Source organism: Homo sapiens, chromosome 1 (genome assembly GCF_000001405.40).
Source record: "Homo sapiens chromosome 1, GRCh38.p14 Primary Assembly".
Lineage (NCBI taxonomy): Eukaryota > Metazoa > Chordata > Mammalia > Primates > Hominidae > Homo > Homo sapiens.
The window spans coordinates 43,709,368-43,737,044 of NC_000001.11; the positions used below are offsets into that span (position 1 = coordinate 43,709,368).

The window sequence follows — 27,677 nt, forward strand, 5'->3', positions numbered from 1 at the left end:
TACTTGTCATTGTCACTTTTTCTTTTTTCTTTTTTTTTTGAGACAGGGTCTCCCTCTGTCACCCATGCTGGAGTGCAGTGAATGTGGCTCTCTGCAGCCTTGACTTTCTGGACTCAGGCGATCCTCCCACCTCAGCTTCCCAAGTAGCTGGGACCACAGGCAGGTGACCTGGAGAATTAAAAAAAATTTTTTTTGTAGAGACAGGGTCTTGTCATGTTGCCCAGGCTGTTCTTGAACTCCTGGGCTCAAGAAATCTTCCCACCTTGAGTTCGAGACCAGCCTAGCCAACATGATGAAACCCCGTCTCTACCAAAAAAAAAATACAAAAAATTAGCCAGGCGTGGTGGCAGGCGCCTGTAATCCCAGCTGCTCGGGAGGCTGAGGCAGGAGAATCGCTTGAACCCGGGAGGTGGAGGTTGCAATGAGCCGAGATCGCGCCAGTGCACTCCAGACTGGGCAACAAGCGTGAAACTCGGTCAAAAAAAAGAAAGAAAGAAATCCTCCACCTCAGCCTCCCAAAGTGTTGAGAATATATGCGTGAGCCACCACACCTAGCCCATTGTCGCTTTTCTGATTCACCTCAGCTACTTGGAATAACAGTTCTCTCAACCCAGAAGCGGCACCTCAAGTTTATTCTTACTTTTCTTCTTTTTTTCTCCCCGTGTTTTTGGTTGGGTGCCAGGTCTTGTTGACCCTACTTCCACACTGTTTCTGGCATCTGCTTCTATTTTTGAGTCAGAGCCTCCCTCTGTTGCCCAGGCTGGAGTGCAGTGGCCCCATCTCAGCCCACTGCAACCTCCACCACCTGGGTTAAAGTAATTCTCCCGTCTCAGCCTCCTGAGTAGCTGGGACGACAGGCGTGTGCCACCACACCCGGCTAATTTTTGTATTTTTAATAGAGACGGGGTTTCACCATGTTGGCCAGGCTGATCTTGAACTCCTGATCTCAAGTGATCTGCCCACCTTAGCCTCCCAAAGTGCTGGGATTATAGGCATGAGCCACCATACCTAGCCTGGCATCTGCTTCTTTTCACTCCTACTGTCATCACACTGATCTGGGGCCATTGGACCATTCCTGTGAATTACCACAGAAACCCCCTAACATTTTTTTCCTTCCATCCATCATGTGTATTGCCATCACTTCCAAGTTTGTCACTTCTCCAGCCAGGACTTTGAATGGCTCCCCATTATCTGTTGCGTTAGGCACAGACCAGCCTGGCATGGGCAATATGGGCAAACTGATTTCTTGCCATTCTGTTATATTTTCCAGGTCAATGGAACTATTTGCTCTTTGTGCTTTGCTGTTTGTGCTCTGTATCTTTGCTCATGTTGGCTTTTTCTATCTTAAATAGTCTCCTTGACTTTAATTGTTCTTACGTATGTTTCAGGGCCATTTGATACGGAACTTCCTTTGTGAAGCTTATCTGTACTTTTTCTTCCCATCTAGATGAGCTGTCTCTCTTCTTTAAGTTTAAACCACCATAACATTAGAGTCTGCCTTTTTGCGATAATTGCCTTAAATCCTGCTTCTACCCACAGTATAAGACTGAAGCTATTTCAAGACATAGACTGTCCTCTTCATCATCCAACTTTGTACATAGTAGGTACTTGGCAAATATATTTTATATTGAAAATAGCTTTGAATCAGGATGGATGCAGAGATAATTCTTTATCCAAACAAAATGTTTATCATTAAAATCTATAAATAAAGTTGTTTATGTGAGAGAATCCCTTACTGAGAGATCTGTATTGACATAGATAGCTTGGATTAGGCTGCACTAACAAAAACCTCAAGACTTCAGTGGCGTAACAGAACAAAACTTGACTTCTCATTCATGTGACGTGTCCAGCATGAGTGTACAGGAAACTCTTCACAGTTACTCAGGAACTGAGGCTGATAGAAACTCCATCTTAATATGGTACTGCCATGACCATTTTGATTAAATGAAAAGATAGTGGTCAAGTGGACACTGGCTTTTCAAGTTTCTGTCCCACTATGGCACATGCCACTTTCATTCACATTTTCATTGGCCAAAGCAAGTCACATAGCCATGCCTAACTTTAAAGAAGGTTAGAGAATTTCAGTGTTAGCATATGTCTGGGAAGCAAAGAGCCAGAAATATTTGGTGCATAGCACTAATGACTACTACCTCATCTGGGGTATCACAGCCCATTGAAGATTAGAGGTAGCACATCAGATGGGCTGCTAGAGACAAACATTGACAGTAGCAAGAAATAATAGCTCTAACCAGGCATGGGGTAATGGTAGATTCAGAGTCAAAACTCTTCCAAGCACTTGTAAATGCTCACAGGCCAAGGGTGTTGATACAAGGGCAATCTGTTACATCCGAGTTATGACACAGTCATTCCTGAGGAATGTCTTTTACAAAACTTACTATGTTACAGCATTCTTAGTAACAAATACAGCAATGGTTCTGAGATAGCAAAAAATAAAAGTTAAATTATATTCAGGGTATTCAATTTATAAGAAATTGGGAAATGTGTAATAATTTTAGGTGCATTTTCACTCAAATGGTTAAAATTAAAAAGTAATCTTAGTTTAACCTTACTGGTTTAATTGAACCTAGCAAACTTGGTATTTGGGGAGGAGGTTTCACTTTTGACAGACAATAGAAACAGTGCTGGTTGGAGCCCTGGTTCAGGAAACAGATTTGGGTTCAGATCTTGGCTCTTCCACTATTAATAGTTGTCTGACATTAAGCAGGAATCTTATTTTTGAGCCTAAGTTTCCTCATCAGTGAAATGCATGGGGCAGTTGTGAGAATTAAACAAGTCAGTTCATGTAAAGTGCTTTGCAGAGCACGTGGTTCACAGTAAGCACTCATGATCACAGTGCTTCTAACCAGCTGCAGCAAGGTTAGAAGAAACTTGAGAAATCAGGTAAGGAGCCCTCAGAAATACAGGTAGAAGGGTTCCCCTGGATTTCCCCACCTTTTTTCTCCCTTGGACAGCATCCCTACGATCTCTTATTTTCACATTTTTCATATTTTATGTGAGTGTATACATTTCTTTCTCTCCTACTAGACCAGGTGCTCTCATCATCCACAAATGTGTACTGAACATAAGCTCTGCCAGGCTCTGTGCTAGGTGGTGGCTTGATAGGTATGAAGGACATGTCCCTGGCCTCAAAGAACCTCCAGTCTAGTAGGACCAGAAGCAAGTAAAGAATACATTATAACCAGAAGCAGAATACATTATAACAAGGGCTGTGGTTGAGGGTCTTGTGGGATCTTCTAAAAGCGCACCTGATATCGTGGGGAATATGAGTACTGGTTTTCTAGGGAAGTTCACATCTGACCTACATCTTGAAAAATCAGTAGTTATTAGCTGGGTGGATATGGGTTTAAAAGGCTTTTCACACAGGCAACAATGTGTGCTGTGGCCTAGAAGCAAAGAATGTGGCTACATCCTAAAGACACTGGTGTGGCAGGAGTATGGAGCCTGTTGGGGGAGTGTGTGGGAAATGAGGCTGCAGAAATCGGTCAAGAATAGATTGTGAAGGTCTTTGTGAGTTATGAAGTTAGAGCTTTATCCTGAAGGTGATTAGGTGCCACTGAAGGATTTGAAGATAGAAAGTGACTACTTTGTCAGCTTTGCCTTTCAGGAACATCACTGTGTGGAAGAGGCAGAATAGTGAATAGCTATTTCCCTCACATGGGGAGTTCTGAGGTTTGCATCCATAGTACCATGCCTACTACACAAGAGTCATAAAATATTTATGCAGGATGAAGGTTAGAATGAGGTAAGACTGGACGGAAGGATAGTTACGCTGGTGCAACATGTGAGCGGCATGTCTGTGTGCTTCCTAGGGCTAGATGAGCAGCAGACCAGGATTTCAGTCATAGCCTGGCCAGTTTCTATTGTGTCACCTTGGATAGGCTTCAGAATGTCATGTCTTCTTGGTTTTCAAATTTGGAAAATGAGGACAAAAATTCCTACCTTGCCAGGTTGCTCTGAGGATTGGAGGGAATAGGTGTAAAAAGCCTGGTCTTGAGCTATTAGTAGATCTATACAAGTAATAGTTTAATAATAAAAAACAGTTATAATATTTCTAATCTTTAGTATATTACCTGGTTCATGGTAGGTGATCACTAGTCTTAAATCTCACTACCTAAAGATGCCAACGTTGTGGGATTTTTTTTTTTTTTTTTTTTTGAGAAAAGTACTCACTCTATCACCCAGGCTGGAGTGCACTGGCATGATATGATCACGATTCACTGCAGCCTCAACCTCCCAGGCTCAGGTGGTCCTCCCACCTCAGCCTCCCAGATAGCTGGTACCACAGGCACTCACGCACCACCACGCCCAGCTAATTTTTTGTGTTTTTTATAGAGATGTGGTTTCACCATATTGCCCACGCTGGTCTCGAGCTCTTGGGCTCAAGTGATCTGCCCAGCTCTGCCTCCCGAAGCGCTGGGTTTACACGCGTGAGCCACTACGGCCAGCCACGTTGTGGTTTTATTTTTGCATTTATTTTAGGTCTTACTAACAAGGATATGCATTTTAAGTGATGGATGATGCTAGGCTGGGAGTGTTAGGCATAAGGGAATTACTCTGAGATCAAAAAGAGACAGTTGATAAGAATGCCATACGGGCCGGGTGCAGTAGCTCATACATGTGATCCCAGCACTTTGGGAGGCCGAGGTGGGTGGATTATCTGAGGTTAGGAGTTCGAGGCCAGCCTGGCCAATGTGTTGAAACCCCGTCTCTATTAAAAATACAAAAAGTAGCTGGGCATGGTGGCAGGCGCCTGTAATCCCAGCTACCCAGGAGGCTGAGGCAGGAGAGTCACTTGAACCCGGGAGGCGGAGGTTGCAGTGAGCCGAGATCGTGCCACTGCACTCCAGCCTGGGTGACAAGACAGGGAAACTCCATCTCAAAAAAAAAAAAAAAATCCCATACAAATTTAAACATTGTTGCTGGGCGCAGTGGCTCATGCCTGTAATCCTAGCACTTTGGGAGGCCGAGGTGGGCGGATTGCCTGAGTTCAGGAGTTCCAGAACAGCCTGGGCAACACGGTGAAACCCCGTCTCTACTAAAATACAAAAAAAAAAAAAAAAAAAAAAATTAGCTGGGCATGGCAGCGTGCACCTGTAGTCCCAGCTGCTCTGGAGGCTGAGGCAGGAGAATTGCTTGAACCTGGGAGGCGGAGGTTGCAGTGAGCCGAGATCACGCCACTGCATTCCACCCTGGGCAGCAGAGCAAGACTCCATCTCCAAAAATAAAAAATTTAAACATTGCTTAAATGCCAACAGTTTATATGGCATTTAGCTATTCCCAACCCTTGCTCAGAAGTGACACAAATGTGTGTGACCATAATATACTCATCAGATGGGGTTGCTAAAACATACACACTTCTCCTCGGCCTGTCATTGCTGACTTCTTCCCCCTGAAATTTTGCTCCTCCTCAGTCATCTTCTGATGATTTTTTTAAAGATAGTAATGGAAGTTTAATTCATATTTATTTTCCATTAGATTCTTTATATGATCATCCTGGCTTGACATGAGTTCCTCCTCTCTCAACTCCTGTAGAACTTAATTTATGTTACTCTGATGAAATGTCATCTACTGCCTTGGCCCATTATTTGTCTATGTATCATAAATTTCCTCTTCCTTGATGTCAGTTTTTCTTGCAAAGTAACTGAAAGGTGGCATGTTTATGTATTTTTAACACAGCTTAAAAACTCACTGAACCCTTTTGTTTGGAATATGTTAAATCAGGAAATTCTGTTACTGAGGATTTAAAGAATGTAGCAGTTGTTCTCTTTGGTCTCGGGATTCCCTTAAAGTTTAAAAATTATTGAGTATTCCCAAATAACTTTCATGTTTGTGAGTATTGTCTGTCGATATTTAATGTTTTAAAAATCACTGAGTACAAAAAAAAAATGATAAAAAATGTTCATGGCTGTGCGCGGTGGCTCACGCCTATAATCCCAGCACTTTGGGAGGCTGAAGTAGGGGGATCACTTGAGCTCAGGAGTTTGAGACCAGCCTGGGCAACATAGTGAAACTTCATATCTACCAAAAATACAAAAAAATTAGCCAGGTGTGGTAGCACATGCCTCTGGTACCCCCTACTTGGGAGGCTGAGGTGGGAGGATTGCCTGAGCCTGGGAGGCAGAGGTTGCAGTGAGCCGAGATCATGCCACTACACTCCAGCCTGGGGGACAGAGTGAGACTCTGTCTAAAAAAAAAAAAAAAGTTCAGCCTGGGTAACATAGTGAGACTACATCTCTTCAAAAAATTAAAAAATTAGCCAAGCATGGTGGCACATCCCTGTAGTCCCAGCTACTAGGGAGGCTGACAGCAGGATTGCCTGAGCCTAGGAGGTTGAGGCTGCAATGAGCTGTGATCATGGTACTGCACTTCAGCATGGGTGGCAGAGTGAGACCCTGTCTCAAAAATCACAATAACCCACAAGCATGCATACTGTTAACTGTGAGAAGAATCGTGGTCACCTCATCATGTTATATAACCTCTAGAAAACTGCTGGACTCTCATAAGAGAATGAGAGTGAACAAGGCAAAGAATGTCTTAGATTGTGAAAATAGTTCTAAACTCATGGACCCCCTAAAAGGGTCTTGGGGACCCTTGAGGGTCCTTGGACTACACTTTGAGAACTGCTGGTATATAGTTACGAGTTTTTGTGTGACTTTTATATCCTTCTGGTAACAACATAAGAATGGAAACATTAAAAACGTCTATTTTCAAAATGCACTCAACAGTTTTCTTTAAAAAACAGCTAGTTTCTAGCCTCTGATAATATTAATGGCAAAAACCACAATTATTTTTGCACCAACCGAAATAGATGTTTATTTTGGAAGGGCAGCTGTGTGTATTTTTGGAGTATCTGCTAGGTGCCATACTGTTTACATTTGCCATCCCAGGAAAGGTCACCAAACTGAGAACAACAACATTTTTGTAGAAGAAAATTATGTAACTGCTCTTTAAGTTCTAGAACTCTTATAAGCACTTGGTGACATGATAACTGGAAAACTTTTTCGTGGTGCAGGTTTCAGAGTTTCTCGCTGTCTCATTGTCAAGTTTAGTTATGATCCTATTTAAAAGATCCTATTACGGGCTTGCTTTGGCAGCACATATACTAAAATTGGAACGATACAGAGAAGATTAGGATGACACACAAATTTATGAAGTGTTCCATAAAAAAATCTTTTTAACATCCAATTTTTACGGAACTAACCATATTGATGTCATCTGTACTACATGAACCGTACTACATTAGGACGTGAATGAGTGAATGGCGGTACCACACACTCTACACTGTGGAATTTTCACACTTCCTGAGGAGTCTTCCTGAACCTCATGTGCGACAGACATCTGACTTAGGGACTGCATGAGGAGGCCGGTGTCCATGAAATTAAACACCAAGAGAGGTTTATAAATAGGAGGTGTGGTATTTTTCTTCCAATACCCTGCTGAATCACTTTGAGTGCCCTTCGAGGTGTACATCCCGTACATCCCCTCTTTGAGGGCAAATGGCCTGGGCTGTTATAATGGCTTCTTCTTGCTCTGTGCTTAGCCTTCTCCAGTCAGTTCTCCATATTGCTACACGAGCAACCTTTCTAAAACATAGATTTACGTCATTTGTTTATGTACGTGGTTCCTCATTGCCAATGGGATAAATTTCAGACTCCTTAGCGTGGCTTGTAATCCCTCTCCTGCCCTTCTGCTTCAGCTTCCCAGAGTCAGTTTAATTCAGGCAACGCCTCTGAAGCTTTTCCTGAGCCTCCCAGACAATTATTAATTCCCATAATCTCATAACATCTGTTCCTTGTTTATTCCATAACTGCACGAATCACCCTGCTCCTTGAGGGCAGGCACCACTCCCTGTGTGTCCGCTGCTTTACTCAGGTGTGTAACAATGACTTTTGCTGGGACTGATAAGATGGCATAGCTGGTAGCATAGTTCCAGCATAGTTACTTTGCAATAGTCCAGCATAGTTTTTCTAAAATATGTCTTTCCTTTCTGAAAAAATACATGAGCAGATAAACAATATGGAACTACTGCATAGGCCTAAAACATGTAAAGTCTCAGAAATAATAGCAAGGAAAGGGAACATTTATATTTTGTTTTTCTTTTTTCTTTTCTAATTTTTTTTTTTTTTTTGAGGTGGGGCCTTGCTCTGTTGCTTAGGCTGGAGTGCAGGGGTGCAGTTACAGCTACTGCAGCCTTGACCTCCTGGGCTCAAGTGATCCTCCCACCTTAGCCTCCTGAATTGCTGGGATTACAGGTGCACACCACCATGCCCCGGTAATTTTTTTTTCTTTTGTATTTTTTTGTAGAGATGGGGTTTTGCCATGTTGCCCAGGCTGGTCTCAAACTCCTGAACTCAAGTGATATGCCCACCTTAGCCTCCCAAAGTATTGGGATTACAGGCGTGAGCCACCGTGCCTGGCCTGTATTTTCTAATGATGTATTTTACACATACAAGAACAGAACAAATAATTATACCTATCATGAATTTTTTTTTTTTTTAAATGAGACGGAGTTTCACTCTTGTTGCCCAGGCTAGAGTGCAATGGCATGACCTTGGCTTACTGCAACCTCCACCTCCCGGGTTCAAGCGATTCTCCTGCCTCAGCCTCCCGAGTAGCTGGGGTTACAGGCATGTGCCACCACACCCGGCTAATTTTTGTATTTTTAGTAGAGACAGGGTTTCTCCATGTTGATCAGGCTGGTCTTGAACTCTTGACCTCAGGTGATCTGCCTGCCTTGGCCTCCCAAAGTGTTGGGATTAGAGGCGTGAACCACCACGCCCGGCTCTATCATTAAATCTTTTTTTTTTTTTTTTTTTTTTGAGGCAGAGTCTTGCTCTGTCGCCCAGGCTGGAGTGCAGTGGCGCGATCTTGGCTCACTGCAAGCTATCCCTCCCTGGTTCACGCCATTCTCCTGCCTCAGCCTCCCGAGTAGCTGGGACTATAGGCGCCCGCCACCATGCCCAGCTAATTTTTTGTATTTTTAGTAGAGATGGGGTTTCACTGTGTTAGCCAGGATGGTCTCGATCTCCCGATCTCATGATCCGCCCGCCTCGGCCTCTCAAAGTGCTGGGATTACAGGCGTGAGCCACTGCGCCTGTCTATCATTAAATCTTAATATGCCATCTTGCTTGAGTTTTTTTTTATTTTTTAAATAAAGAGAACATTACATTTTTACTGAAAGCCTTCCTAATGTGTTTTTCCCTTCTTCTCCCTCCTTCAACAGAAAAAAGCCACTGTTTGAGTTAAAGGTGTTTAAAGTTCCCATACGTGTTTTTATCCTTCTGCTACATCTTTTTTTTTTTTTTTTTTTTTTTTTTAGGATGGAATCTTACTCTGTCACCCAGCCTGGAGTGCAGTGGAGTGATCTTGACTCACTGCAACCTCCACCTCCCAGGTTCACATGATTCTCCTGCCTCAGCCTCCCAAGTAGCTGAGATTACAGGGGCCCACCACCACGCTTGGTTAATTTTTGTATTTTTAGTAGAGACAAGGTTTCACCATGTTGGCCAGGCTGGTCTCAAACCCCTGACATCAGGTGATCTGCCTGCCTTGGCCTCCCAAAGTGTTGGGATTACAGGCGTGAGCCACCACACCAGGCCTCTTACCTGCTTCTAAAGGGAGTACCTGGCCAGTGACAAAGTATTTTTCAGCTTTACTCTTCTGTTCTCTGTTTTTAAAACCATTGTAGATCATTTGATTTCTACTCAGGAAGTCACTGACTACTCATCTTGCAGGAGTCTGGATCCAATTAAAAGAGAGAAATCACATGGTAATTTGAACAGATAAGGTTTAATGTAAGAATTACTTAACTATTACAGAGAATTGGCGTAATGCTAGATTGGCTAATAAGAAGTAAAGAAATAAGCACATAGAAAGAGGGTTAACATCATCAGCCTTCAGGGGAGTGTAGATCAAAACTACCATGAGATGCTACCTCACACTCTATGGTGGCTGGAATCAAAACAGCAGATAAGAATAAGCGGTGGCTTGGGGCCAGGCACGGTGGCTCATGCTTGTAATACTAGCACTTTGGGAGGCCGAGATGAGCGGATTGCCTGAGCTCAGGAGTTCGAGACCAGCCTGGGCAACATGTTGAAACCTCGTCTCTGCTAAAATACAAAAACAAATCAGGCGGGTGTGGTGGCGGGTGCCTGTAATCCCAGCTACATGGGAGGCCGAGGCACGAGAATTGCTTGAACCTGGGAGGCTGAGGTTGCAGTGAGCTAAGACCATGCCACTGCACTCCAGCCTGGGCAACAAAGTGAAACTCTGTCTCAAAAAAAAAAGAATAAGCGGTGGCTTGGGAGGCTGAGGTGGGCGGATCACTTGAGGTCAGGAGTTGGAGACCAGCCTGGCCAACATGGCGAAAGCCCGTCTCTACTAAAAATACAAAAATTAGCCGGGTATGGTGGCATATGCCTGTAATCCCAGCTACTCTGGAGGGTGAGGCAGGAGAATCACTTGAAACTGAGAGGCGGAGGTTTCAGTGAGCCGAGATCATGCCACTGCATTCCAGCCTGAGCAACAGAGCAAGACTCTGTCTCAGAAAAAAAAAAAAAAAAAAAAAAAAAAAAAGAATAAGCAGTGGCTCACACCTATAATCCCACCAGTTTGGGATTTGAAGTGGGAGGATTACTTGAGCCCAGGAGTTAGAGACCATCCTGTGCAACACAGTGAGACCCCATCTTTACAAAAAATAGAATAATTGGCTAGGCATGTAGTCCCAGCTGCTGAGGAAGCTGAAGCAGGAAGATCGCTTGAGCCTAGGAGGTTGCAGCTGCACTGAGCCAAGGTCATGACACTGCACTCCAGCCTGGACCGCAGAGTGATACCCTGTCTCTTAAAGAAAAAAAGAATAAGTGTTAGAGCTGGTGATGTGGAGAAATTGGAATGCTCATTCACTGCTGTTGGGAATGTAAAATGTGTAGCCACTTTGGGAAACACGCTGTCATTTCTTCAAGCAGTTAAACATAGAATTACCATACAACCAGTAGATGTCATTCTAGGTGTCCTAGTCCATTTTGTGTTACTATAACAATAGCTAAGACTGGATAATTTATAAAAAACAGATTTATTTCTTACAGTTTTGGAGGCTGGGTAGTCCAAGATCAAGGGGCTGGCATGTGGTGAGGGCCTCCTTGCTGTATCATCTCATGGCAGGACCTGGAAGGGCAAGAGAGAGTGAGGGAGAGAGAGAAAGAGACTGAACTCACAGCCTCAAGCCCTTTTATAATTGGCATTAATCCGTTCATGAGGGTGGAGCCCTCATGACCTAAATACCTCTCATTAGGCTTCACCTCCCAGCACTGTTGTATTGGAGATTAAGTTTCCAACACATGCTTTTTTGGGGGACATGTTCAAACCACAGCTCTAGTTACATACCCTCTTCCACTCTTAGGTATATGCCCAAGAGTATGTCCATACAAAAATGTATACGTGAATGTTCATAGCAGCGTTATTCAGCCAAAAAGTAGAAACAACCCAGATGTCTTGCCAGCTGATGAATGGATAAATAAAATATGGTATATTCCTAGGATGAAATAGTATTCAGCAATAAAAAGCAATGAAGTACTGGGCCAGGCATAGTGGCTCATGCCTATAATTCTAGCACTTTGGGAGGCCTAAAGCAGGAGGATTGCTTGAGGCCAGGAGTTCAAGACCAGCCTGGGAAACATAATGAGACCCTTGTCTCTACAAAAGTAAAAAATCAGCCAGGTGTGGTAGTGCATACCTGTAGTTTCAGCTACTTGGGAGGTTGAGGTGGGAGGATCACTTGAGCCCAGTAGTTGGAGGCTGCAGTGTGATATGATCGTACCACTGCACTCTAGCCTGTGCAACAGAGCAAGACCCTGTCTCTTAAAAAGAAAAAAAAAAGAAGAAAAGAAATGAAGTACCTATAATTAAACCTTTTTTTTTTTTTTTTTTTTTTTAATGAGACGGAGTTTCCCTCTTGTTGCCCAGGCTGGAGTGCAATGGCATGACCTTGGCTTACTGCAACCTCCACCTCCCAGGTTCAAGCAATTCTCCTGCCTCAGCCTCCCAAGTAGCTGGGATTATAGGCGTGTGCCACCCCACCCAGCTAATTTTGTAGTTTTAGTAGAGACGGGGTTTCTCTGTGTTGGTCAGGCTGGTCTCGAACTCCCGACCTCAGGTGATCCGCCCGCCTCAGCCTCCCAAAGTGCTGGGATTACAGGCATGAGCCACTGTGCCTGGCTCTTTTTTTGTTTTGTTTTGAGACAGAGTTTCGCTCTTGTCCAGGCTGGAGTGCGATGGTGTGACCTCGGCTCACTGCCACCTCCGCCTCCTGGGTTCAAGCGATTCTCCTGCCTCAGCCTCCTGAGTAGCTGAGATTACAGGCATGTGCCACTGCGCCTGACTGATTTTGTACTTTTAGTAGAAACAGGGTTTCACCATGTTGGTCAGGCTGGTCTTGAACTCCTGACCTAAGGTGATCTGCCTGCCTTGGCCTCCCAAAGTGCTGGGCTTACAGGCGTGAGCCACATACCCGGCCCCCTCATGTATTTTTTTTCAAGCACACTGTAACTGATTGAATAATCAGTTAGTCAACAGACAGTTTTTGAGCACCTACCAGGGATAAAATGGTGAACAAAATAGACATGTTCCCTGCCTGGATCAGCCAGAATATAAATATTAAATTATTGTAAATACTTAGAAAATTATAAGTGCACAATGTAATGGGATAGGGATATATGGGTGTGGTAGGACTATATGACAGGGAAACCTAACCTAAAGCCTGGAGACAGGTAATGCTTCCCTACAGAATTAAGGTTTTAGCTGAGACGTAAAAGATAAGTAAGAGTTGGCTAGATGAAGTGGTGGGGTCAGGAGGGCTTCAGCCTGACATTGGGAAGTAAATAAAGCGGTGGGTCAGAAGGGCTTCAGCCTGACATTGGAAAGGCATGATAAGTTGAAAACACTGAGAGAAGCTCCATGTTGCAGGCTCATAAAAAGATGAGGTGGCAAGAGATGTGGAGGAGAGGTGGGAAGGGGCCAGATGTCTAGGCTTTGTTTAAGGAGTCTGAGACTTTACCCTAAAGAAAATGGGAAATGTATGAAGTTTAAGCCTGGGAGTGAAATAATCCTATCACATTGGCTGCTGTGTGGAGAATGAATTGGGCAGGGGCAAGAATGGATGTAGGAGGCTTACTAGGCTATTGTAGTAGTCCATGCAAAAGGTTATGGTGACTTGAATTAGGATGGTGGCAGTGAAGAGGGAGGGATGTGTGGCTTCAGGAAGTATTTAGGGATAAAATTTGTAGGACTTGATTGATTATGTGTGCAGGATGAGAGTGAGGAGGAGTCTAGTGTCAAGGCTAATTTCCAGGTTTCTTACAGAAGCATCTGTGAAAGGGTTGACTTTGATTGAGATAGTAAATGCTGGAGGAAGAGTAATTCCTCGGGGTGAAACATCTAGATGATGAGGTATAGCAAGAAGTTACATACTTGGACTTGGAACTCAGAAGGGATATCTAGGCTGAATATGTAAAATTTAGGATAGTGACATAGTTTGGATATTTGTTCTCTCCAAATTTAATGTTGAAATTTGATCCCCAGTGTTGGAGGTGGAGCCTAGTGGGAGGTCTTTGGGTCATGGGGGCGGATCCCTCATGAACTGCTTGGTGCAGTCCCTGCATAATGAGTGACTTCTCCCTCAGAGCTGGTTATTTAAGAGGGTAGCAACCCTCCCCTCTCTCTCTTCCCTCCTTTTTTTTTTTTTGAGATGGAGTCTCGTTCTATTGCCCAGGCTGGAGTGCAGTGGCATGAAGTGGGCTCACTGTAACCTCAGCCTCCCAGATTCAAGTGATTCTTCTGCCTCAGCCTCCTGAGTAGCTGGGATTACAGGCACGCACCACCACACCCAGCTAAGTTTTGTATTTTTAGTAGAGACGGGATTTCACCATGTTGGCCAGACTGGTCTCAAACTCCTGACCTCAGGTGATCCACCTGCCTCGGCCTCCCAAAGTGCTGGAATTACAGGCGTGAGCCACCACGCCCGGCCTTCCCTCCTCTCTTGGCATGTGATATCTGCTCCCTTTCCGCTTCTGCCATGAGTGGAAGCACCCTGAAGCTCTCATCAGAAGTGGATGCTGCTGCCTTGCTTCTTATACAGCCTACAGAACTGTAAGCCAAATAAACTCGTTTCTTTAGAAATTACCCAGTCTCAGGTATTTCTTTTTTCTTTTTTTATACCAGTCTCAAGTATTTCTTTTTTCTTTTTTTTAGACAGAGTCTCACTCTGTTGCCCAGGATGGAGTGCAGTGGCATGATCTCAGCTCACTGCAACCTCTGCCTCCTGGGTTCAAGTGATTCTCCTGTCTCAGCTTCCCAAGTATTTGGGTTTACAGGCACACATCACCATGCCTGGCTAATTTTCGTATTTTTAGTAGAGATGAGGTTTCACCATATTGGCCAGGCTAGTCTCGAACTCCTGACCTCAGGTGATCTGCCCGCCTCGGCCTCCCAAAGTGCTGGGATTACAGGCGTGAGCCACTGTGTCCAGCCTCAGGTATTTATTTATAGCAAAGCAAATGGACTAAGAGTCAGCATAATGGTGGTAAACGAAGTCACAGAAGAGGATGACATTGCTTTGGGGATATCTGCAGAATGAGAATGTAAGAAAGCCTAAGATAGCACCCTGAGCTGCTCTCTATATTTAAAATTGTTGTGTGTATATGTAATATATGTATGCATATATATATATGCATTCAAATTATACCTTTAGAATGTATTACTTTTTGGAATGTGTACAAATTATATTGTGTCTAGAGTTGGGGAATATAATTGTAAATATATTTTATTTATTTATTTATTTATTTTTTGAGATAGGGTCTCACTTTGTTTCCCAGTCTGGATTGCAGTGGTGCAATCTCAGCTAACTGCAACGTCTGCCTCCCATGCTCAAGTGATCCTCCTGCTTCAGCCCCATGAGTAGCTGGGACTACAGGCCCTCACCACCACACCTGGCTATTTTCATTTTTTTTTTTTTTTTTGTAGAGATGGGGTTTCGCCATGTTGCCCAGGCTGGTCTCAAACTCCTGAGCTCATGCCATCTGCCTTCCTCAGCCTCCCAAAATGCTGGGATTACAGGCTATTTTATTTTTAAACAAACTCTGCTTGAGTGTTACTATATTTGAGGCACTATGCTGATAAATGCTAGTGATTTAACAGACCTAAGTTATAGGTTCTTTTTTCAAATTGTATGCTAATTATCTGCAGAGGCAGAAAAAGAGACAAGATGTTTTCTAAATGCTATGATGGAGGTGAGCATGGGATGTTATGGAGCACAGTCATGGTGTAGGGCTGTGATTAAGGAAAGCTTGCTGAAGGAACTAACACTTGAACACAGTCCTAAAAGATGAGTGGCAAAGAAGGCAGAGAAAGGCTCTTACCACCTCTCACAGTTTTAGGGGCTGTATAAAGGTCAAATTGCGGGAGGACTGTAAAGTGTCCAGTGGATGTGGCACTTACGAGGTCAGTGGTAAACTCATTTACCACAGTGACAGGTGGGATTAGAAGCCAGATCAGACCACAGAGTTGAAGAATTAATGAGAAGAGAGAAGTCAGAAGTCCTCTAAGGTGGGGCCTGAGTTTCTGTGTTTCGGTGTCCTCGCTGCCATGTGTAATCCCTAGCACATAGTGTTTGTCCTATTAGCTTTGGACAGAAGAGAGCCACTTCCCTCTCTGGGATAAGATGCATGTATGTGGAGAGGATGTGTCCAAATCGCTGTGCTCCATCTGCATTCTAGAGGGAGCATCTGCAACTCTTTACCTGCATGCTTTTTTCTTTTTTCTTTTCTTTTCTTTCTTTTTTTTGAGATGGAGTTTCACTCTTGTTGCTCAGGCTGCAGTGCAGTGGTGCAATCGGCTTACTCCAACCTCTGACTCCCAGGTTCAAGCTATTCTCCTGCCTCAGCCTCCCAAGTAGCTGGGATTATAGGCATGCACCATCACGCCCAGCTAATTTTGTATTTTTAGTGGAGACGGGTTTTACCATGTTGGTCAGACTGGTCTTGAACTGACCTCAGGTGATCCACCCACCTCGGCGTCTCAAAGTGCTGGGATTACAGCATGAGCCGCTGCGCCTGGCCTGCATGCTTTTTTCTGACCATACAGGGAGGCCAAGTGCAGTCCCACAGCCAGAATTCTCTGTCTTAAATCTACTTCTAGCATTTTTATTTTTTATTTATCTTTTTCTGTCTCTCATGGTTGAGTGCCTGATACTCTTATTAAATTTAATTAATTAATTAATTTTTTTGAGACAGTGTCCCACTCTGTCACCCAGGCTGGAGTGTACTGGCATGGTCTCAGTTCACCGCAGCCTCCACTTCCCAGTCTTAAGTGATCCTCCCACCTCAGCCTCCTGAGTTGCTGGGACTACAGGCACGCACCACCGTGCCTAGCTAATTTTTGTATTTTTTGTAGAGACGGTTTCGCTATGTTGCCCAGGCTAATCTCGAACTCTTAGGGTCAAGTGATGTGCCTGCCTTAGCTTCCCAAAGTGCTGGGATTACAGGCGTGAGCCATCGCACCCAGCCTCACGTTTTATTTTTCTCATTTAGTACGATACCAAAAGCATTTCTCTATACCATTAAAAAATTTTTTTAAGTTTATGCAGCCATTTAAAGTGGCTGCATAAACTCTCATTTAGATGTTTATTTGAACATTTAGTTTAAAATTCCTTTCCCTTTTTAACTTTTCATTTTGAAATAACTTCTTATTTACAAAAGAGTTGTAGAAATATTACAAAGAACTCCCATATGTCCCCTTCAGCTAGCTTATTGTGATGTCTGTCAGATTTCTCAACTTCAAAGTTACTCTGTTCCCCTCTGTTAATAATTAGTGAGGAAATAGTTTAAAACTATTTTATATCTTATTTTTTATTTATTTATTTATAAGAGATAGGGTCTTGCTCTGTCACTCAGGCTGGAGTGCGGTGGCATGATCTTAGCTCATTGCAGCCTCTAACTCCTGGGCTCAAGTAATCCTCCCTCCTCAGCCTCCCAAGTAGCTGGGACTACAGGCACATGCCACTATGCCCAGCTAATCTTAAAATTTTTTCTAGAGGTGGAATTTTGCTGTGTTGCCCAGGCTGGTCTTGAACTCTTGGCCTCATGTGATCCTCCTACCTTGGCCTCCCAAAGTGCTAGTATTACAGGCATGGGCTACTGTGCCTGGCCTATATCCCATTTCTTTTTCTTTTCTTGAGATAGAGTCTTGTTTTCTTGTTCAGGCTGGAGTGCAGTGGCACGATCTTGGCTCACTGCAGCCTCCGCCTGCCGAGTTCAAGCAATTCTTCTGCCTCAGCCACACAAGTAGCTGAGATTACAGGTGGGTGCCACCATGCCTGGCTAATTTTTGTATTTTTAGTAATATGGGGTTTCCCCATGTTGGCCAGGCTGGTCTCGAACTCCTGACCTCAAATGATCCGCCTGCCTCGGCCTCCCAAAGTGCTGGGATTACAGGTGTAAGCCATTGTTTCTGGCCCTGTATCCCATTTCTTGTAAAACTTGTATGCATTAATTTTAGCATCCATTGATGTTTCTTGGGTGAATTATTACTATAATGGTTCCTAAATGGTGATTTTCTAATTACATTATTCCTTCTATTTTCATCAGCTGTCGTTTCACTCTGAGAGCTTTCTCCCCCTTTATTAGATTCTTATTTAATGGATTATAATCTGTTATTATCAGTCTTTATCTTGATGCTGAATTGCTCCAGATCTGACCAGTGGGAGCTCCTCAGGCTGATTCCTTTTTCCTTTTGACCTGTCCTCACTCTGAGCATTTTCCCATTTTCAGGCACAACAAGGTGGCCCAGACTTACCTTACGCCTTCTCTGCCCCAGCCTTGGAGTCAGCCATTCTTCCAAGGAGACCTGCTTCCTTTTTTTTTTTTAAGCAATTGTTTATTACACTCCTGCTATATGCTATAAGATGATGAGCAAAACCAGACACAATTTCAGCCCTGGAAGGAGAAAAGGGAGGTCGATATTAATCAAGTAATAACATTAATGGGGGCATTTCTCAAGTGAGAGAAGTGCACTAAGGAAAGAAATGTGATTCTATGGTAGGGTAATAAAAGATCCTTGACTGGGGAGGGGCAGCATACCAGTAATTAACTGATCTGAAGAATCAGTAGAAATTAACTTGGTAAAAAGTGAAAGTGGATGGCTGAGTGGGACCAGCATTCAGAAGGCAGGTGCCTGCAGAGAAAGCCATCAGTTTTAACAAGAAATGCTGTATCAGAGATGAAACTAAACCTATTCCTCATCTTTTCTTCTTGCTTCAAACATAACTTTGAAAAATCATTTATGCTGTCTTTAGCCTCATCCCTTCCCCAAACTTCACATTGTTCTGGGTTTTAGGTGTCTCAAAAATTTTTTTTTTCTCCCGGAAGACCCATGACTCCTCTTGAATATTAAGTGCCTTTTTCTATCTGTGTCCTAAACCTTTTTTAAAAAAATAATTTCAACTTTTATTTTCAATTCAGTGATACATGTTCAGGTTTGTTACATGGGTATTGTGTGATGCTGAGATTTGGAGTATGATTGATCCTGTCACCCATGTACTCAGCATAGTACCCAACAGTTCATTTTTCAACCCTTGCGCCTTCACCCCTCATCCCCATCTAGTAGTCTCCAGTGTCTGTTATTGCCATCTGTGTGTCCGTAAGTACCCAATGTTTAGCTGCCACTTACAAGTAAGAACATGTGGTATTTGGTTTTCTGTTCCTGCGTTAATTTGCTTAGGATGATGGCCTCCAGCAGCAACCATGTTGCTGCAAAGACCTGAATTCATTCTTTTTTTATGGCTGCACCCTGCTTCTTGTTAGTGGAGAATAGTATTTCAAAACCAAGATCTACGGAGGTTATCGTGAGCTGAAATCGCACCATTGCACTCCAGCCTGGGCAACAAGAGCGAAACTCCTTCTCAGAAAACAAAAACAAAAACAAAAACACCATCAAAATCTAGGTACTAGATATGCTTCATGCTGTTGAGATATGACCACTGCCAGGGTCTTTCTGTGGGCAGAGCTAAAGAGTTATATGTTGGGGGGGTGGGCACAGTGGCGCACGCCTGTAATCCCAGCACTTTGGGAGGCCAAGGCAGGAGGATCATTTGAGTCTAGGAGTTTGATACCAACCTGGGCCACATAGCAAGACCCTGTTGCCACAAAAAGTTAAAAAAATTTTAGTAGCTGGGCGTGGTGACACGTGCCTATGGTCCTACCTACTTGGGAAGCTGAGATGGGAGGATCACTTGAGCCCAGGAGGTCGAGGTTGCAGTGAGGTATGATCACGCCACTGCACTCTGGTCTGAATGACAGAAACTGTTTAAAAAAAATTATATGTGTGTATACACACAAATGTACACACACTATCCTCACTATATTTATTTTTATGTCTTTGTATATATAACACACATATATACACATATGTATACACACATATGTACATATACACACACACACATATATATTTCTGTATTATTGTTCGTTTTGAGACAGAGTCTCTCTTTGTCGCCCAGGCTGGAGTGCAGTTGCATGTTCTCAGCTCACTGCAGCCTTCACTGCCTAGGCTCAAGTGCTCCTCCCACTGCAGACTCCTGAGTAACTGGGACTACAGGCACATGCCACCAGGCCTAGCTAATTTTTAAATTTTTTGTAGAGACAATTATTTTTCTTTTTTTTTTTTTTTTTTGAGACAGATTCTCACTCTGTCACCCAGGCTGGAGTGCAGTGCCATGATCTGGGCTCACTGCAACCTCTGCCTCCCCAGTTCAAGTGATTCTCCTGCCTCAGCCTCCCAAGTAGCTGGGATTACAGGTGTCCACTACCACGCCCAGCTATCGAGACAATTTTTTGTAAAGACTATATTGCCCAGGCTGGTCTCAAACTCTTGGGCTCAAGTGATCCTTATTCCTTGGCCTCCCAAAGTACGGGGATTACAGGTGTGAGCCACCATGCCTGGTTATATATTAAAAACCATTTTTTTCCCACTGAATACCTCCAATTTCAATACAAGTCAAAATATTAATTCCAGTTTTCCCTTTCCATATTTGTAACTTTCTTCTCCATCATTGGGAAATCTTGTTCCCATTAGCTTCAATACATTTACTTATCTGGTCAATCCCAAATCACCTGTTGCCACAACCTAGACCCCTCACATGGACTAATGTCCCTCTCTCCCCTTTCACCCCAGGCATGTGTGACTCTCCCTAAAGCCTACTGGTTTTTAGATTATTTAGAAAGGAAGGGATAGAGGGACCTCATTTTGTTTATGGATGCATAGTACCTATTTTGTGTATGTACCATAGTTGATTCAACCCTTGTTGAAGGACATTTGGAGTACATTGAATCTTACTCTGTTACGTTACAAATAGTGCTACAATAAGTGGCCATTCACATAAGACTTTTTGTATTTTTGTCAGTGTATCTTTGGGATAGTTTCTTAGAAGTGAGACTATTGGGTTAAAGGGTTAAAAGCATGTGTAATTTTGTTAGATATTTTCAAATCCCTTCCACCACCAGTAATGTATGAAAGCCTGTTTTTACCCCACAGCCTCACTTCTAGAATGTGTCAGACTTTTGTCCTAGCGGCGAGTTTGAAATTACATCTCTCACAGGATCTCGGGATATTGTTCTCCTTGTCTTGGAGGCTTTGGCTTCCTTTAAGCTCTTTTTTGCTCTTTTGTATGTTGTCTACTTTTGGAAATCAGTTTCCTCCTTGGGATTTGTTCTACTCTTGTCATTTGAAGATTGTTTTCCCTAATGGAAAAGACTGAAATAAAACAGGTGATTACTTCAGCCTTCTCACTGCCATATTTGTTGAAAAGAATGGCTGCATCTGTTGACTCACTGACTGTTGTGTGTCTGCCAGAGCCTTGGGCTGTGGTCACTGTATGGTTGTGACAATTCAGCATCACATCTCTTGCATTTGGCACAGAAAGGAGAGGGGTGGTGCCAGCCACTTCTGCCCCCTTCTAAAAGAAAAGAAAATTCTTTCTAAGAGCCACTTGCCTTTTGTGCGCAGACTACTTACAACTTAAATTTTTAGTTGTTCTCAGTGGGAAGTTTGGACAAGATATATAGTTCCTTGTGTAGTTAGAAATACAAGTTTCTGATTTCTTTTTCTTTTCTTTTTTTCTTTCTTTTCTTTTCTTTCTTTTTTTTTTTTTTTTTTAGACAGAGTCTTGCTCTGTTGCCCAGGCGGGGGTGTAGTGATGTCATAATGGCTTACTGTAACCTCAAACTTATGGGCTCAAGCAATCCTCCTACCTCAGCCTCTCAAATAGCTAGGACTACAGGCCCATGCCACCATGCCTGGCTGATTTTTAATTTTTTTCTGGAGACAGGATCTTACTATGTTGCACAGGCTGGTCTCAAATTCCTGGCCTCTCAAAGTGCTAGGATTACAGGCATGAACCACCATGCCTAGCCATCAAGTCTCTGATTTCTATTTCACTTAAAACTTTATGTATTTACTTTTACAAATATAAACATTAAAAATAAATATATGGATAAATAAATACCTTGTCAAAGTATTCCATCTGAACCCACTTTTCAGAGATAATTATTGTCAATAGTTTGGTGCATATTCTTTTATGTATGTACTAGATACTTAGTCTTATTTTTTTTTTCTTTGAGATGGCATCTCACTCTGTCATCCAGGCTGGAGTACAGTGGTGCAACCTTGGCTTACTGCAACCTCAACCTCCTGGGCTCAACAAATCCTACCTTAGCCTCCCAATTGGTTGGGGCTATACCACCAGTACAGGCACATACCACCATGCCTGAATAATATTTTTTTATTTTTATTATTGAGATAGAGTCTCGCTCTGTCGCCCAGGCTTGGAGTGCAGTGGCACGATTTCGGCTCACTGCAACCTCCGCCTGCTGGGTTCAAGCGATTCCCCTGCCTCAGCGTCCCAAGTAGCTGGGACTACAGGTGCGTGCCACCGCACCCAGCTAATTTTTTTTTTTTTTTTTTTTTTTTGAGATGGAGTCTTGCTCTGTCACTCGGGCTGGAGTGCAGTGGCGCGATCTAGGCTCACTGCAAGCTCCACCTCCCGGGTTCACGCCATTCTCCTGCCTCAGCCTCCCGAGTAGCTGGGGCTACAGGCGCCCGCCACCATGCCCGGCTAATTTTAATTTTTTTTTTTTTTTTTTTTTAGTAGAGATGGGGTTTCACTGTGTTAGCCAGGATGGTCTCGATCTCTTGACCTCGTGATCCGCCCACCTCGGCCTCCCAAAGTGCTGGGATTGTAGGCGTGAGCCACTGCGCCCGGCCTAATTTTTTGTATTTTTAGTAGAGACGGGATTTCACAGTGTTAGCCAGGATGGTCTTGATCTCCTGACCTCGTGATCCACCCACCTTGGCCTCCCAAAGTACTGTGATTACAGGCATGAGCCACTATGCCCGGCCCTGACTAATTTTTAAAAAAAATTTTTTGTAGAGACAGGGTCCTACTGTGTTGCCCAGGTTGGTTTAGAATTCCTGGGCTCAAGTGATCAACCAGCCTCAGCCTCCCAAAGTGCTGGGATTACAGGTATGAGTCATGGCGCCCGGCCCTTAATCTTAATTTTTAAATATTATTGTCATCTTCGTTTGTTGTTGCCAGTATGGGGCCATATATGTACATACTATTCTACAGCTAGATTTTTTTTCACTTAGCAGTAGGTTCTAGACACACTTCCCTGTTAGTACATGCAGATATGCCTCATTCTTTCCAGCTGGTACATTATATTCTGCACTGTTATTCTCCTGCCCTGGCAGATACTTTATTCACCTTCGTTTCTTCTGTGTACTGGCAGCTGGTCTCTGTTACCTGCATCATCTGGGCTTCCTTGCCTTCTGGCTTCCAGCTGGGATCAGCTGATAAAAGACACTGCCAGGAGATCTGAGGGCCAATGTTGGGAGGAGTCAGACTATGTTTTATCCCCCACTGTCCCTTGCCATGGTTCTAGTAGCAGCTGTGCTCGTTATCCGTGATCACTGCTCTTGTAGGGTGGCTTCTCTTCTCCAGCCAGCTCTTGCTGGGCTCCAGTGACACCCTTCTCTTCTTTTGCCCTTTGAGGTTGAAGGGTAGAAATAGCTTCCTGCCGTTTCTAGTCCCTGGCTGCTTCACCATTCCTTGTTGGTTCCTTTAAATGCTGCTCACAACAGCTATAAAAAATCCTGTCATTAAACTGCCTTCAGTTTACTCCTTTGCATATGCCATCTCTTTCCTGCTAAGACCTCAATGGATGTGACCAGGGAGACTTACCATAATTTAATTATTGGGTCCCTATTATTGGGCATTTAAACTGTTTCTAGTATCTTGCTGTTATACTCAGAGTTGCTAATGAACATTCATGTACATGTCCTTTTTAATATTTGTTGGAGTATTGTTTGAGAAAAAAGTCATAGGAATAGAAAGACTGGGCTAAGGTATATGAATATTATAAATTTCAATAGATACTTCTAAATTGTTCCCAAAGGAGTCTACCAATTTACATTTCTACAATGTGTTGTTTGATTTTTTTAATAGTAAAAAATTAATGGAGGCAGTACTTGTGACTTCATAAAAAATACTTTTTTTTTTTTTTTTAAGAGACAGCATCTCTCTGTTGCCCAGGCTGATGTGCAGTAGCATGATCATAGCTCACTGCAGCCTCGAACTCCTCAAGCAGTCTTGAGGCGGGCTCAAGCAATCTTCCCGCCTCAGCCTCCCAAGTAGCTGGGACTATAGGCACATGCCACCATGTCCAGCTAATCTTAAAATTTTTTGTAGAGATGGGGGTCTCATCTCATCATCTTGCCCAGGCTGGTCTCGAACTCCTGGGCTCATGCAGTCCTCCTACTTCGGCCTCTCAGGTCTGAGCTGCCATGCTAGGCCCTATGACAAATAAATTTAATTCAGAAGTGTACAAAGGGAAAAGTAAAAGTCCTCTGAGTCTCACCTGCTTCTCATCATCCCATCCTATTCCCTACAGGTAAGCATGCTAACAGCTGTATAGCCTGTCAGGCCTTTCTCCCATTTTTATATGTACATGCTTAGCGTAGAGTAAATTGAGTACATTTATATGTATAAAGTAAACTCATTCGTATGTGTGCGTATATGTATCTCTTTCTCTATTTGAGATAACATATTTCTAGACTCTGTTCTCTTCCATTGACCTGTTTTTTCCTCTGCCAGTACCTATCTACCTTAGTAATTATAGCTTTGAGTTGGTTCGATATCTGGCAAGGCAGATTCTCATCCCATTATTTTTCATTTTAAGAAATTTCTTGGCCCTTCTTGGGCCTGAACTCTTCAGATTATCTTTAGATCCAAGTTCAGAAAATTCATGGATTTTGACTGGAATGAAACTGAATTTATAGAAAACTCACATTTCAGGAAAACTGACATATTTCAAATTGAATCTTCTCACTTAAGAACCTCTTTCACCGGGCGTGGTGGCTCACGCCTGTAATCCCAGCACTTTGGGAGGCCGAGGTGGGTGGATCACGAGGTCAGGAGGCCATCCTGGCCAACATGGTGAAACCCCATCTCTATTAAAAATACAAAAAAATCAGCTAGGTGTGGTGGCGCGTGCCTGTAATCCCAGCTACTCGGGAGGCTGAGGCAGGAGAATCGCTTGAACCCGGGGAGGTGGAAGTTGCAGTGAACCGAGATCGTGCCATTGCACTCCAGCCTGGGCGACAGAGGGAAACTCCATCTCGGGGGGTAAAAAAAAAGAACCTCCTTTGTCTCTTTATTTACTCAGATATTTTATGTTCTTTGGTGAAAGTCTTGCCCATTTCTTGCTAAGTTTATTTTTAGTTATTTTATAGATTTTGTTGCCATCATGAATGGAATTTTTTCACTTTATGTTTTCTTTTCTTTCTTCTCTTTCTTTCTTCTTCTTCTTTTTTTTTTGTTTTTTTTTTTTTTGAGACAGGGTCTTGCTCTGTCACCCAGGCTGGAGTACAGTGGCACGCTCACAACTCACTGCAGCCTCAACCTCCTGGGCTTAAAGGATCCTCCTGCCTCAGCTTCCTGGGTAGCTAGGACCACAGATGCACACTACTAGGCCTGGCTAACTTTTTAATTTTTCTTTTTGTAGAGATAGGATCTCATCATGTTGCCTAGGCTGGCCTCAAACTCCAGGGCTCAAGCAGTTCTCCTGCCTCAGCCTACCAAAGTTCTGGGATTATAGGCGTGAGCCACTGTGCCCAGCCCACCTAACATTTTCTAATTGGTTATTGCTGGTATGGTTTTTAAGAATGTGTTGATTTTTGTAAATTAATCTTATAATCATAATCACCTACTTTATTGAACTTCCTATTCTAATGATTTTTTAGTATATTCTCTTGGCTTTCCTAGGTGGACAATTATCTGTAAATTATAATGTTTTGTCACACCATTATTAATATTTATACATCATTTTTTTCTCTTATGTCATTGTAATTTTGTGGCTGAGATATCTGATTGGGTTTGGTTGAGGGCCTGACCCAGGGCAGTCTTCTTGGCCAATGTTACATTTTACATTTAAGGTGTACCTGCTATGCATCCTTTTACATCAAAGGATGCATAGCAGGTACAGTAGCAGGGTGGGTGAATTCCAGACAGACCTTGAGGATAGAAACAAGGCAGCATTCAATGAATAGAAAGTACAATGACTAGAGCATAGGGCACAAATGAGGTTGAGAGAAGCAAGAGATGGATTGGAGAGTAAATCGAGGCTCAGTCAGAAACCGCTAGGCTGTAAGGAGCAATTACTTTATTCAGAGGAGTTGAGAATTGAATGAAAGCTATGTTAGGCAGAATGGCTCTTTAAAGATATCCACACCGTAATCCCTGGAACCTATGAATTTGTTACTCGACATGGCACAAGGGACTTCACAGATATAATTAAGGTTTTGGGTCTTCAAATAGGGAGATTATCCTGGATTATTAAGGTGGGCCCAATATAATCACATGGGCCCCAAAAAGCAAAGAAGTTTCTCCAGCTGGAAGAGAAGCAAGATATGGCGGAGGGGGAATTTGGAGAGATTCAAAGAGTGAGAGAGCCTGAAGGGGACCACATGGAAAGCATGAAAAGGACTGTAGGCCTGAAGGCTGGCCCCTGGCAGATAACCAGCCGGGAAACGGGGGCCTTGTCCCTACAGCTGCACGAACTGAATTCAGCCAACGGCCTGAGTGAGCATGGAAGTGGATTCTTCTCCAGGGCCTCCAGAAGGGAACACAGCCCTACCAGCACCTTGGTTTTGGCCTTGTGCGACTCTAAGCAAGGATCCAGCTGAGCCTCACCATATCCAGATTTTGGCCTTCAGAACTCTGAGATAATTTTGTGTTGTTTTAAACTGCTAAGTTTGTGACACTTTGCCACAGCAGCAGTAGAGAACGAATGCAAAGGGGTTTAAGCAGGGATATTGTCAGATTTTGTGTTATTAAAAGACTTCTTGTGCCATGTGGAAATGGATTTGGAGAATGTAAATTTGAAGGCAGGGAAACGTGTTTGTGGGAATGCTGTGATAACACAATCTAGGGTAGTGATCATGGGAAGGGGCTATGATTTGAAAAATATCTGGGAGGCTGGAATTGCCAGAACTAGTCAGGGACTGGATGTCGGCGGCTGGGGTGGGGAAGCAAAGATGATTGCTGCTTTCTAGCTTAGGCGCTGGCTGATGATGAAGCTGTTTTTTGAGATGGGGATGAGCAGGTTAGAAGATGCCATGATATGAAAGTGATAACTCTAAGTTATTCTTCATTTGGAAATTCTCTCTATAGATACTTTAAGAGAGAATATATCAATAAGATGAGTGCTTTGTCTTTTAAGAACTAAACTTTTTCTTTTCTAGGTCATTTAGGAAATCGTAAATCATGTGAAGATGGGACTCTTGGTATTTGTGCGCAATCTGCTGCTAGCCCTCTGCCTCTTTCTGGTACTGGGATTTTTGTATTATTCTGCGTGGAAGCTACACTTACTCCAGTGGGAGGAGGACTCCAGTAAGTATAGTCACTCTAGCTCACCCCAGGAGAAGCCTGTTGCAGGTCAGTTACTGGTTTTTCGTGTGGCTGCGTCTCATATTCTTCAGAGATGGGCAATGAGAGTAAACTGAACATTTCTGGGACTTTGGCCTAGAAATTGCCTGCCATTTTAGCTGGTATAGGCTGAGAACTTTGATGTTTTTTAAAAACTGCATGCCATGACAAATCTCAGTTCCTTTTACAAACTTGGTGAGAATGTGCTATTCTTCAATAAAAACCCAAACTATACTCATACTTCTAGTTCTTGAACGCTTTTGTTCTTTCTAATTGCTGTAGCATATTGCCACTCTATTTTGCCATTTATTGCCTTAGGGATTAGTATTGAAGTTGGTTTCCATCTGCCCTTAAAACATTCATCTTTATGTTGAATTTTCAACATAATATTGTCTCTGTTTTGTTTTCCCTAAAGAAACGTTGTCTACTGAATCTTTGTAGCCGTTGCTGCTATTGAACTTGCACCTGGCTACAATAATGGCTTATTTTCCCTACCCAGTAACTCCTAATTTTTTTCTTCTCTTTGTGCACTTTGTCTCATGTGTTACATAGTGTTTTCCACATAGCCTGAATCCCACTGGTTTGGTTTCTGTTTACCTGATGTGGCCTGTGTTTTGGTTCTAGGCTT

The 27,677-nt window shown here is 43.2% G+C and overlaps 1 protein-coding gene, 1 long non-coding RNA gene and 1 pseudogene across 58 annotated transcripts in view; 2 read left to right on the forward strand and 1 right to left on the reverse strand.

Moving 5' to 3' along the window:
• Positions 1-27,677, forward strand: part of ST3GAL3 (ST3 beta-galactoside alpha-2,3-sialyltransferase 3) — a 223,624-nt gene that overhangs the window by 1,832 nt on the left and 194,115 nt on the right. For 35 of the 57 annotated variants that reach the window (NR_073021.3, NR_073018.3, NR_146867.2 and 32 more), the window contains exon 2: positions 26,866-27,013. Coding sequence is in view for 41 of the 57 variants with exons in the window: in XM_047428200.1 (XP_047284156.1) it covers positions 26,896-27,013 (118 nt within the window). In the remaining 16 variants the exon portion in view is untranslated. Of the gene's footprint in view, positions 1-26,865; positions 27,059-27,677 lie in introns of all 57 variants that reach the window. The other 22 variants (XR_946744.3, XR_946743.3, XR_007063036.1 and 19 more) reach the window with 1 other exon arrangement.
• On the reverse strand, positions 25-17,976 carry ST3GAL3-AS1 (ST3GAL3 antisense RNA 1). The gene is made up of 4 exons (NR_125986.1): positions 17,866-17,976; positions 11,104-11,184; positions 9,627-9,759; positions 25-168 (listed from the first exon to the last, which is right to left on the reverse strand). It is a non-coding gene; the product is annotated as an ST3GAL3 antisense RNA 1 (long non-coding RNA).
• Positions 7,104-7,197, forward strand: LOC124904721 (uncharacterized; annotated as a pseudogene).